The sequence below is a fragment of the Homo sapiens genome, chromosome 3 (genome assembly GCF_000001405.40).
Source record: "Homo sapiens chromosome 3, GRCh38.p14 Primary Assembly".
Taxonomy (NCBI): domain Eukaryota; kingdom Metazoa; phylum Chordata; class Mammalia; order Primates; family Hominidae; genus Homo; species Homo sapiens.
Window position 1 is genome coordinate 123,285,013 of NC_000003.12, and position 12,220 is coordinate 123,297,232.

Sequence of the window (12,220 nt, forward strand, 5' to 3'; positions counted from 1 at the left end):
TGGTCCATGGACTGACTGCCCTGAGTCCAGAATAAGTTCAGGAGTGGACAGTAAGTGCCGGGGAGCTTTCAAAGCCATCTGACCTGGCTGCAGCCCGTCTCCAAGTGTGTCCCCGGTGCATTGTACAAAAGCATCCCTCCGTGACAGATCAGAACGATTTTTAAAAGCTGCTTTTTTCACCACAGGTCGTTTGAGAGCCTTTGCTTATCTCACTGCATCTTCCTGTGAGGTGACTAATGTTATTACCCTCAGGCTCAGAGCATCTAAGTCACGAGCCTGAGGTTACACAGTGAATAAATGGCAGGGCCTGTGCTTAGGTCCAGGTCTTGTTGTCTGGCTCTGCTTTAGCTTTCGGAACAAAGAAGAGAGCTCACCGATGGCCTCACTAATTTCACTATCCCATTGCTGGGTGAAAGAGAAGAGTGGTGGGGACAGATGTGGGGAGGGGCAGCATAGCCAGTGGCTCCTGGGATGACCCAAGAGCTGTTTGTGAGCATCGTCAGAGCTCCCCACCCCAGCCACACTGCAAGCCCACCAGTGAGTGCAAGTGCCAGGCAGCAGGCGGTAGGAGTGCTGGGTGGGCTGCTGAGAGGGGACCCCACTGTGTTACTAGCTGCAGTTCCTGTGTGGTGCAGCCCCACACAAGGTGAGTTGCTGGGTCATTATGGTGGCTGCTCAGAGAGTCCCTTGCGCCTGTCCCTGAATGGGCTGGAAGCCTTGGAAACACACATGCCCCTTGCTCCTATCTCTAGGCCCATCCTGCTGTCCTTCTCTCCTTTGCACAGGGATGGAGGTGAGAAAAGGCCATTAAGGCCAGGCCCCTCGGCCAGCATCCACACCTCAGCCAGGTCAGGCTGAGTGGACCAGGACTGTGCTTGGGGTCAGGCCCTTTATTCAGAGGCCCTGTGGGGGAGAGAAGTCAGGACATTTAAGCAGTATCATCAGTGTTGGCAAAAGGCCTTAAAAGCAGCACAGTTAGCACCTGGAAAAACAGGCCAGGCAAGCTGACCTCCCACAGCCTCACAGAGAACTGGGGGTGAGGGCCGTGCAGGAGGACTACTGCCCAGGGCGGTGCCTCTGCCATCAGACTGCAGCAGAGAATCAAGGAAGGCTCAAAAAGCAGCAGCTGAAGAACAGCAGGCCGGGAAACCACAAGCCCAGCTCGCAAAGGAGGGAGCAAGGGGAAAAGGCCTCTGAGTCTGTGGCCAGGGCCCTTGGCTGCTGGGGCTGGGGGAGGTACCATCCCAGGGCCAGCAGCCCCCACTGGCTCTCCTGAGCCAGGCCAGGAGTGCTGCAGGCTCAATGGGTAAGACCTGCTCCCTGCAGACATCTTTGCATCCTCTCTGTGTGCCTGGGCTAGGAGGCACTGGGGCCTGCATGTGCACTCTCAGCTCGGCCTCTACAATCAGATCCACTCCCAGCAGCCCCCAGTCCCTTCCATGCCCAGTAGAGGGCTCTGCAGAAGCCTGAAGATCTGTCCAAGGTGCTGAGGGCCTGAAACACAATTGTGTTCTCCAAGCTTCCAAGACATCAGCGTCAACAGCCCCATCACCCTTGAATCTGGCTGCAGACATTCTGACTGGGAACTGTAGGTGGCCTGCCCTGAAGACCTCTCGGTGTCAGACACAGGACCTCCCATGGGGTGAGGGGTGGTGGATGCTCCTGCACTCACCTGGATGCGGTCGGGTACACCGGTGCTGTCCATGCGGCTGGCCACGTTCACGGTATTGCCCCAGATGTCGTACTGAGGCTTTCGTGCCCCTATCACCCCGGCCACCACGGGGCCGATGTTGAGCCCTGCAGGGGACAGGAATCAGCCACAGTCATCACATCTCTGGCTTGACCTTGCCACCATCTGTCTCCCCACATGCTGCAGGTCCTTCTGACTCCCAACCTGAGACACCCGTGGGCTTCCAGGCCCAAGGCTGTGCTAAACCCTGCAGCCTCCCGCTACCCTGCTCCTGTCAAATGCCTGTGAATGCAAGACACAAGGAGCCTGCACCTGTGTCCTCGACACCCCTCACCAGGAGTGCCCTCTTCAAGGTCTCTAGTGACCTCCTGTGCAATGCAGTTGCCTTTCCCTAATCCTCCTCCTCTTGGAGCCATTTAGGCGCAACCTATCAGACTGGCTGTGTCTCTCTTCCTCATTCTTCTGTTTCTTTCCTCGCCATTCTCACTCTTAGATCCTGCCCAACTCATCGCCCTGTGCCAGTCTCCTCTCTCCAAGTCCTCCTGCTCCCCCGCCTCTGAGCTGGGGCAGGCACACTGCAGCAACCAAGCTCTGGCCACCACTTCGGCTCTCCTCTGCCCACTTTCCCAATCTCACCCAAGGCAACGCTGAGCATCACTGCCTCTGAGCCTTCGCTGAGCTGCTTCTCCCTCCTGAAGCGTTCTCTCTCCTCCTCCCCAGGCTAAATCCTGCCCCCATGTATCTGGCTCAACTGATGTTCCCTAGACATTTCCTGTCCTGTCTCCAGGCACGGGGCATTCCCTCCTGTGTAACCTGCCGGTCTCGTACTGTCCTCATTAGGCCTCACTCTTGCCTGTTTCTTGTGTGTGAAGGGCAGGACTGAAAACACACAAGCTCCAAACTAGGCCCCTGGTGACCCTCACTTGGTCAGCAATGCCATCAGTCCTCAGAACTTCCTTCCACGACCCTCCTCATCAGTCCTTCCAAGCCGCAGGCAGCTTTATACCCCATGTGCCATCACCAGGCTGGACTGTCCACCTTGCTGACCAGACTGAGCCCTGATGGCTTCTATTTCCCAAAGCCATGCCACCCAGGGAAGACAAGCCTGAGTCTGTAGGAGGGGAGCTGCCACACAGGCTCCCAGCTGCCTGCCCGGCTCCTTATCTACCTCTTGGCAGATTCTACACTCAGTCCCCAGGCCTGATCCAATCAAGGAGTTGAGGCTTTTCAAAAACACACACTGGGAGAAAAATGCAAACCAAAGCAGGTGGACGAGATGGGGTGAAAGGAAAACAAGAATGGCAATGTTACACAAGACCAAGAGTGCGTGACGTTAATGCAGAAATGGAGGCTGCACATCACTTAAAGCAGACTCCCAGCTGGCTGTGCTCGGGGCCTCCAGCAGCCAGTGCAGGATGCAAACCTGGCCAAGCCCACAAAGCACTGTGCCTATGGGATAAAGCAAGCCAGCTGGCCCAGGGAAAGCCCGATTCCTGACACTCAGGCTGCAACAAAATGTCTCCCAAGGACAGGAATGATCACAATACTGGTTTTTAGTCATCCAATATTTCGGTATAATGTGTTAATTTTGAGAACTGAAATGCCGGTACTTTTGTGGATGATAATTGTAATTTTTAAAAATTTGAAATCTGAATCATTGATGGCTTGAAACATACCCAGGGAGTTGATAATGCATTAAATGGCTAATAGAACAAAGGCCTGCTCTTTCAGAAAGCATTCTTTACCTCCACAGACCTTGGGAGGAGCAACACTCCACCAAGTCAGCTTTCTATTGCAAAACTAACTTGTGCTCCATCAGACCGTACACCCTCGGTAAGACCTATTCTAAGGACAAACAAACTGCAGAAATACTTTGGGCTTTGTGGAACGAGTTCAGAGCTGGCATTCCACAGTTATTTTATGGACACAGTAGGGTGGAACACATGGGGAAGTGTGTACCTGGGTTTTCATTTTACCATTCATCTCTTCTGTAGAGTTGAAACTTGTCAAAATAAAAGGTTGGGGGTAATGAAACAAAACTGACTTTACAAAAAGAAAAATACATATGTTTTTGGTTCAAAGACTTTCTGAGCAAGAATATGGTCATGACTATTTTGAAACTGATCCAGGACCTCTGCCGGACACCACAGAGGTATCGGCACAGCCCCTCCAGAGCCATCCAACTAAGGCAAGGCATGTGACAAAGGAGTCCAGGGAAGATCCAGGGCTTTGACCTGTCACAACCTCCTCACCATTTCTTTCCCCAGTTTGGATGAGCAGCCACTGGAAGATTTTGCTCACCACCTCAACTCAACAATAACCCCACTGACCCATTTCATAACTTGTATAAAAAGAGTAAAAAGTAACTCTTTTTAAGAAGTCAGAATATAATCATTTCACGGTCACTATCACATGATTCTTTAAATGTTTAGTTTTTTAAACTATTTCACTTTGTTTTGCTAACGATTTTGCAGATTACATGTTTGATGTTGTTCTACATTTGCAAATTTAATGACTGGTAACATGTTTATACATTGTGTATTTAAAATGTATCAAGTATTTGATTTTACTGTTTTCCATTTTTACTGAATGAATGTGGAATACTTTTAAATAAAACAACGCGGTTAGGTCAGTATTACTCGAAACAAATGGGACTGCCATCTGCTGTGCTACAACCACCAGAAGGCCCCATGCCCTCGGCACAGAGCATCCCCCACAAAGCCCTTCGAGCAGGCACAGCCTGGGTCCCACCAGGCCGGCCCTGCATCTGAGTGAGGTGGGAACTCACCAAGGGGTGTCCTACCCATGTGGCCCTCATGTCAAAAGGCAGCAGAGGCATCGCCAGGCTCTGGGCGGATTCCGCTGTGAATGACCCATGCCTGCCCCCACCTACTAAGGGCAGGGAACACACCACATCAGCCTCTGCTGCCGCCTGGCCTTCTACCTTGGGACCACAATGGCGGATGCGGTATGGGGTATGGGGGAGCCCCTGCCAGCCCTCTGCCTGACTGCACCCTGGGCTCAGCACTCCCTGGGCCCCCACTCACCGATCTTCATCTGGAAGTTGTTGAAGGAGTGCTCATTGATGTACTTCATCTGGTCCATCAGCTTCATGGCAAAGTCGGCCAGTGCCTTGATGTGGGTCTTGCCCACCTTGTCGTAGGTAGAGTCGTTGAGGCCGGAGGCAGCCATGTAGGTGCTGCCGATGGTCTTGATCTTCTCCAGCTGCCGGAACCGATCCTCGCTGATGATCTGGATGAAGGAGGCCAAACCTGGGTCACCCCAAGCCTGGGACACCGAGGGCCACAGGGAGGGACAGAGGATGTCCAGGGAAGTGCAGCAGCATGGCCCTTCATGTGTCCGCTCTTCACACAGTGGGGCCTGTCTCCATCCTCATCAGTGTGATGCCCGCAACGCTCCTGACACAGCCAGGCCCCTCCACACTCACTCACCCACTGGACAGTGCCTGTGGGCTACCTGCCCACCCTCACGCCAGGAGCCCTGAAGACAAGGTCACTAGTCACCTCTGGGTCTCTTGTCTCCCCTTCAACAAGCTCACACCTCCATCCCACCCAGGGAAACCTCCATTTGTCCAGCAGGCAAATTCTTTCCCTACCCCCTGGCCCCGGCCCTCCTGGAAGCCTTCCCACACTCAACTCAGCCAACTCCCATCACTCCACTGCCCCGGGAGTCTTGCAGGCCGTTCCTGACACTGCCTGGCCAAGCTCCATCATCCTGCTTCTCCCTGTGCCCCATGCCCAGGCCCGGCGTGCCCGCTGGGGTGGCCCCTCTCACGCCCATGACTCAGGAGCTCCCAGGGTCAAGACTGCCCTACCGGGCTCTGCATCCCCAGTGCCTCCACACGCCAGGTGCTCAACCAGAGTATGAGAAGGAAATGAAGGAATGCTTCAATTTGGCCTCTGCTACTCAGGGCCTCACATCTTTCTCCTGCCTCCTCCCTTAGCCTGAGGACTCCTCCTTCCTTTGGTTCTCTCAAAGCCCTGGGCACAGACACTGGGTTGTCCCAGGCCCTGGGACCCCATGCACCCTAGATGGCACAAGAGGAATGGTGGTCAGCGAGCCAGTCAGAGAGCTGCCAAAGGCTAAGTTCAAACAGTGTGGGCTGAAACCCCAGCTCTGCCACTTATTGGCAGTGACCTCAGGCCAGACACTTGAGTTCTGTGGGCCTCAGTTTCCTCATCTGTCACATGATGATGAGAGAGGCCATGTGTGCAAGGTGCCCATTGCAGCACCTGGGGACACGGTCAGGTTCCCGCCGGCAGAGCTCCCATCATCACTGCTTATGTCACGATGGTAGAAGGGGGCGCCAGGTCTCTTCACATCCCTCCCATACCAGGGACTTGTAGGCCCCTCCCAGGAACACAGCCTGACCCAGGCCCCGCTGTGCACCTCATCAAAGTCAGCGATGATCTCATTGAGTAGCCGCAGGCACTCGACACCCTCGTTGTTGGCCTCCAGCTCAACGTAGAACTCGGAGAAGTTGGCGATGGAGGCGAACATGACCGCCACACACTCACAGGACTGATAGTAGAGCTCATCATTGCGCCGCTCGCGGGCCAGGAAGTGAGCGGCCACGTCCTTGGGCAGGATGTTGTGCAGCAGCCGCCGGTTGTAGGCCTGCAGCTCCTCCATCTCCTCTTTCTCCTCTGTGGCCTGAGAGAAAAAGACTGCAAGTCACCCAGATGCCAATGTGAGCCCAGATGTCGGCCCCTCCACCTCCTCCTCTCCGTGGCCTGGAGAAAAAGCACCAGTCACGCAAATGCCAACTTGTGCCCAGGATGTTGGCAAGTACCGCTGTCTCTCCTCCTCTCTCTGCTGTTTCTACTTCCAGGTTTTCTCCAAAGAGCAGGACTTTGACAATCAGAAAAGACATTTCTGAGCCTCGAACTCTCTCTGCCAGCCTCTCTGGGGGTGCTGAGCCTGCAGCAGGGAGCCCCGAGCAGGAACAAGCCTGGAGGTGAGGCTGCAAGGATCCTGTCTGCCAAAGGCCAGAACCAGGCTGGAAGGGAAAAGGATCCAAAACACAGCCCACACAGCCCTCCAGCTCCCCGGTGCTCCTCCACTGTTCATTGTCCTCTTAATATCAGGAAATGGAATCAAAAGCCAGAGTTACCTTAATTGACGGACCTGTGGGGGAAAACAGCCCAAAGCCCTGCCCAGTCTGTCTCCCAGGAGGGCAGACTTGCCCCAGAGCCAGATGCAGCCAGGAGGAGCAAGTGCCAGGAGGGACCCCCTGGGATGAGGATGGGACATCACCAGTGACTTTGGTTTTCCCCCAGTTTGGGTCCTGGGTCTATGGGATTTTTTGGTCACCCACCTTCCAGGTTAAAGGACAGGGCAGATCCCTCGGGTCAAGAGGCCAGTAGTGCCCTACAAGGGGCTGAAGGGAAGAGGTGTCACACACCGAGGTGTGGCAAGGAACCATCTGACAAGAGTGTTCATGAGAAAAATCTGGCTGGCCCACTTGGGCTTTTCCTAACTAAATGAAGACACTTTTCTGCTCAGCTGCAAGTAGAATCTCCAACAGGACCAGGACTGACTCTCAGGGCCCTGGCTGTCCCTGTGGTGGTGGATGTCCATGGGGAAAGAGCTGGTGCTCCTTTCCAAGGCTTCAGGACCTGGGTCCAGCACGGAGGAAGAGCTCCCAGGGCAGAAGATCCAGGACCCCTAGGCTCAATGGCCAGCCCTGCCCCTAAGGTAAGTGGGCTCCTGACTGTGCTGCCCATGGCCTGGTGGCCTCCTGGAGTCCCTGGGAATGTGGCTGTGAGGACTGGGATCATCCCGAGGGCTTCTGGACGCTAAAGGGCCCCGCCTTCCACCACCACCCACAGAGGCACGGGGAGCCAGCTGGTCTGTGCTGTCTTCTTGCCAAGCCTTCCTGCCCAGGTGACCTAAGCTCCTGGGAGGCAGTACCCTTTACCCATGTCCCTCGCCATGAATAAGGCTACCTGTGTCTGGCTCTGGAACAGCTATGCCCACGGGAGAAGGCTGGGGGTGGGGGGTAGGGGGCATCCCTGTGCTTCTTCTCACAGGCTGTCCCATGGAGGAGCCCTGCAGTCAGTTATTTGCCTCTGAAAATGCACCAGACTAGACAGTCCTGCTCCTACCTCTGCTGAGACACATGCCTGGGGGCCCACGGATGCCAGAAGCACTACAGCTCCTTTGATGCACCCTGCAGGTGGCAGACAGCATCAGCCCAAAGTGTCAGACAGAGTGGAGGTGGAAGCTAGGGGCAGGGCCGCTAGAGCAGGCTACAGCTGGGGGCAGAGCCAATCCCCAGGGCCAGGCCAGCTGCTACAGCCACCTCTGCAAACTCCACCCCAGCACAGGTGGGCGCCTGACAATGCAGCCAACTACTTCTGGGGCTGCGCCCTGGCAGGGCAGGAAGGTTCGGGGGGCTACAGCCTCTTGGTGGCCCCACTAAGGTCAATGCTGGAGGAAGGGACAAGAGCAGGCTCTCCTGAGAACTCAGACCCTGCAGTTAGGCTAGGAGGGGGCCAGGCAGGCGCTAGGCGGGTCAGAGTGTGTTCCTTGTGCAGGTGCTTGAAGAATGCTGAGGAGTCCGCCTACCAGCCAACTGTACAGGGGCTGCTAAGCCAGCCTGGGGGCGGGGCAGAGACTATCACTTGCCCATCCCAAGGGCCTGCTTTCTGGTGTTTCTTTATTGGTATTTATGTGATGATGGCTCCCTCTCCCAAAATCCCAGGGGAAGGATGGGAAAATGAGGGACCTGCTGGAAAACTTGAGGGAGAGAAGTTGCCACAGGCTGGCAGGTAGACACAGGCTCACTCACACATTCCTACACACACGCACATGCACACACACACTCTTGTGCATGTGTGTGCACACAGGTGAGGAGGGGGTGGGGGGGGTCACCACTGAGCAAATAAACACATACATGAAAGATAATGGGAGGTGAGTTTCTCATTGCCAGAGATGACATTGCAAGCACGGAACAGGGAAGGCTGGGAAGAAGCCCGAGGTATTGGATTAAAATGGGAGGTAGTGGTATGAACTCAGGATTATTAAAAACAGATCTGTACAGATGGATACTGAAGTAGTACAGATACATGTATACACACGTTTCCACGTACGTTTCCACACCTACAAGCAGCGAGCACACCAAACGCTCAGACCTTGGTTTCTAAACACCACTCTCTACTACTAAGAATGAGGGAGGGCTCTTTGAAGAAATCACAGATTCCCGGGCTGGAGCAGGGAAAGCACAAGATTAGCCTGCGATCGCGTGTGTTGGAAAGTCAGGAAAAGCTCAAAGAGTGATGGAGACCTGTCAAATAACAGACGCCAACTTGAAATGCACATGGGCCAAACCTAGGACAATTTGAGCATTAAAATACATAGTGAGGGTTGCAGACGATAACCCACTGGATTACATGGGAATCTGCGAGTCCAGGCTGAGGTAGAGAAGTGAATAAATAAGCAAATCAATGGAGGAGGAGGGACAGCTCTTCTGTGCAGTAGAATGCCAACCAGCAAGTCCAGAAGGAATGGCGGACACTGGGCATTGCTATCGGGCATTTCCACAGCAGGCACTGAGACAAGCAGGAGCCACCAATGGATGCAAAGGCTGCTGGGCAGAGATTTGCTGAGGATCAGAAAATTAGTGGAATATCAGACTCTCTTTCCATAAAGTGCTAGTCAAATACAAAGGGGGAAAAGGGGACATGACAGTGGAGAAATCTGGCAGATGCTGGTTGAGCAGGCCATCAGGGCTGACATCACCGGTGGTGGGATGGGTCAACACGGTGGAGTCTCTCAGTGCGAGGCACCAAGGGGTGCCCGGCTCCATTTCTGTGTGCTTCCTCCAGGAAGGCTCAGCCTGAGTCTGGACATGGGTCTGAAGGTCCCAGAGTAACAAGTTCTTTAAGATTGGCAAGGACCATGAGATGAGGAGAGACTGAGGATCTACTGCAGACTGGAACAGCTCGATACAGAGGACCTGTGCACAGGATCCTGGACCAGCATCGGGACAGTCGGCAACACTGAGAGGGGCCTGCCGCACCCCTGCTGATCGCCGATGGGGAGGGTGCGCAGGGATGACGCAGGGAGTGACCTTGTTTTTGCAAGGTAGACATGGGAGTATTTAGGGGTGATGGGGCATCATGTCAGAAAATACATATGGCGGTGGGTGATAGAGCAAATGCAGAAAAATGAGAGCCTCCTGGAAATGTTCCCAAAGAAGAGGGGATTGAGGAAGAAGGCAGAGGCCTGACAAGGGGCAGGCTCACACAGGATCTTCCCCAGGGTGCCCCAGCCCAGGGCTTCACAAGGGGCATTCTGCACAGAACCCTTCTGGGATTCTCCCTGGTTTCCCCAAACTCAGGGGACCCCTCAACTGCAGACCTCCGTGCTCAATTCCAGCCAGAACCCATGCAAAATACTCAGCAGAAGGGACAACCATTTGCCCCCATCCTCACTCAGCATCCAACGAAAAGCAGGGCCTCCTGCTCCAGCCCAAAGACTTCCATCCTGATGCCTCTAAGAAGTCTGGGATGGAGGAGGTCAAAGTGAGCTGTGGGTGAGCTGAAGTGGTCTAGAGATAGGGGCCGGGCCAAGAGAGGCAGAGGCCGGGCCAGGCTAAGCTCTGCACAGGGCTGGGCTGGAATAAAAGGTGTGAGGCAGCCCACAGGAAGACAGGGCTTTCTCCTGCTGAGTGCTCTTGGGCACTCCCTCCTGGCCCTTCCGAGATGCTCCAGCAGGTAACCTGGCCCACAGGCACCCCTTCCTCCAGGGAGACACAAGGCACAGGGCAGGCAGCCTGGAGAGCCAAGTGCTGGCTGGAATGCATGCATCATGGTCAACAGTCTTTGCTCCTTCAGTCCATCCCCTCTGGAGAAGTCTTCAACCCAGCTCTGGCTAGGTCAAGCCCTGCTCAGAAACCTTTGGTGCCAGTTCCCTACCCTGGCCAGGTTCCTCCCCTACTCCTCCACTCACCTCTTGCCACTCTTCCTTCCCCCGTCCCAGATGCCTTGCTGCCCCCACCACAAAGGACCTGCCCGCACCTCCCCTCTGTCCCTGCCTGGCAACACACACAGTAAGTGCCCAGCCAGTATTTGCTGACTTCAAAGCATGCCTCCTGGACCCGTCAGAGTCCCAGCACTGTCAGCATGGGTTTGTCTGCACAGAGTAAGTCCCAGGGTTTTGCCTCTTGGCTCCAGAGTGCAGGGAGCAGACCCACGGGGACACAGGGCACCAAGTGGCTTCGATGGGGCCTGAGCAAGACAGCTTGACAGTGTAAGACGAAGGCCCGGCTTGGCCTGGCCCAGCAGACGAGCCTGTTGTCTCCGCCACCTGCTCCCAAATGCCTCCCTCCCCAGGTCCAGCCCCAGGGCCACCCACCTGCAGTTTCCAGAGGAAGTCGAGGCGGGCAGTGGACTCCACCTGCTGGGCGTGCAGGTACAGGGCCAGCACAAAGACTGAGATGATGATGGGCGTCACCACCTTCAATGCCACCTTGGTTGCATGCTCAGGGCTGTGGGGAGGTGGTGGACAGGCCTGAGACGGCCGTGGCTCCTCACAGCGGGCTCTGAGGACCCCACCCCCACCCACTGCTGGCCCTGTTTTCTTCCTCCCACTATACCTTCCCCTCTTCCTTATCCCCCTGCTCAAACTTTGCCGCACGCGTGCCTCCTCCAGAAAGCCTTCCTGGCTGGCAGCCCCATCTCAGACCCTGCTTGCACCTGCAGCTCAGGCAGCCATTACTCCTCTCCTGACGCCTTACAACCCCCCATCACTCGGGAGCTCCCCTCTGGTCAGATCAGGGGATGAACTTAGCTTTCTAAAAGGCAGCATGTACATCCAGATCCTTCTCTGGACAAGACAGGGGCAGTGGGTGCAGTAAAAGGGCACCACGCAGGCCATGCTGACCCTGTCTCTGGACAACCTTGGGCAAGTGTCTTAATCTCTCTGAACTTTAGTTTGCTTATCTGTACAACAGGATAACAATAGCCACATTTCAAGATGGTAGTAAGGATTAAAGAGATATTATAAACAAAATGCTTAGCACAGCATCTGACCAACAGTAGGTGCTGCAAACTAGTAGCATTATTGTCTAATTCTGTTTTTGTTACTAATAGATACTCTTAACAAAAGCAGCCATTCCAAATCCTACGTCTTGTGCCTGCCAAGAGCTCAACCCCTGGAAGGCTGCACAGAGGCTCCAGTGACCCCCCGCCCCTTGCCCAGGCAGCAGCCCTCAATGCAGGGACGGGTCCCACAAGCACTGCAGCCCTCGCCTTTGTTCCTTGACTCCAGAGGGAAAGTAGGTACCAGCTTCCATTCTCCTGTGTCTGAGGTTCTCACACAGGCTCCTGGGGAAGAGCTTGAGGTTAAATGCTTTAACATGAGGCCTATGGGATGATCTGAAGCCGGTGATCCCAACCACAGAGACTACAGATCACCTTGGCAGGGATCATGAAAGTGACCAGGGCCTCTGCCCCCCGAGGACGCCTTGCTACCCCAGGAGGAACCAGCCTCCCTGTCCTGTTG

At 55.0% G+C, this 12,220-nt stretch overlaps 1 protein-coding gene across 18 annotated transcripts in view, besides 1 other annotated feature; it reads right to left on the reverse strand.

The window, feature by feature from the left end:
* Positions 1–12,220, reverse strand: part of ADCY5 (adenylate cyclase 5) — a 166,795-nt gene that overhangs the window by 2,717 nt on the left and 151,858 nt on the right. For 12 of the 18 annotated variants that reach the window (NM_001378259.1, XM_011512359.3, XM_005247078.1 and 9 more), the window contains 5 exons: positions 11,968–12,042; positions 11,072–11,204; positions 6,101–6,364; positions 4,738–4,942; positions 1,673–1,797 (listed from right to left, as the gene is read on the reverse strand). In NM_001378259.1, coding sequence (NP_001365188.1) covers positions 1,673–1,797; positions 4,738–4,942; positions 6,101–6,364; positions 11,072–11,204; positions 11,968–12,042 — 802 coding nt within the window. The remainder of the gene's footprint in view (positions 1–1,672; positions 1,798–4,737; positions 4,943–6,100; positions 6,365–11,071; positions 11,205–11,967; positions 12,043–12,220) is intronic. The other 6 variants (NM_183357.3, XM_047447359.1, NM_001199642.1 and 3 more) reach the window with 1 other exon arrangement.
* Positions 10,378–10,583: a silencer, noted in NCBI's record as "fragment chr3:123014237-123014442 (GRCh37/hg19 assembly coordinates)". NCBI's record gives its function as "represses an EF-1alpha promoter that drives an FKBP-Casp9 reporter gene in an ReSE screen in K562 erythroleukemia cells {active_cell/tissue: K562}" and the evidence as "EXISTENCE:reporter gene assay evidence [ECO:0000049][PMID:32094911]".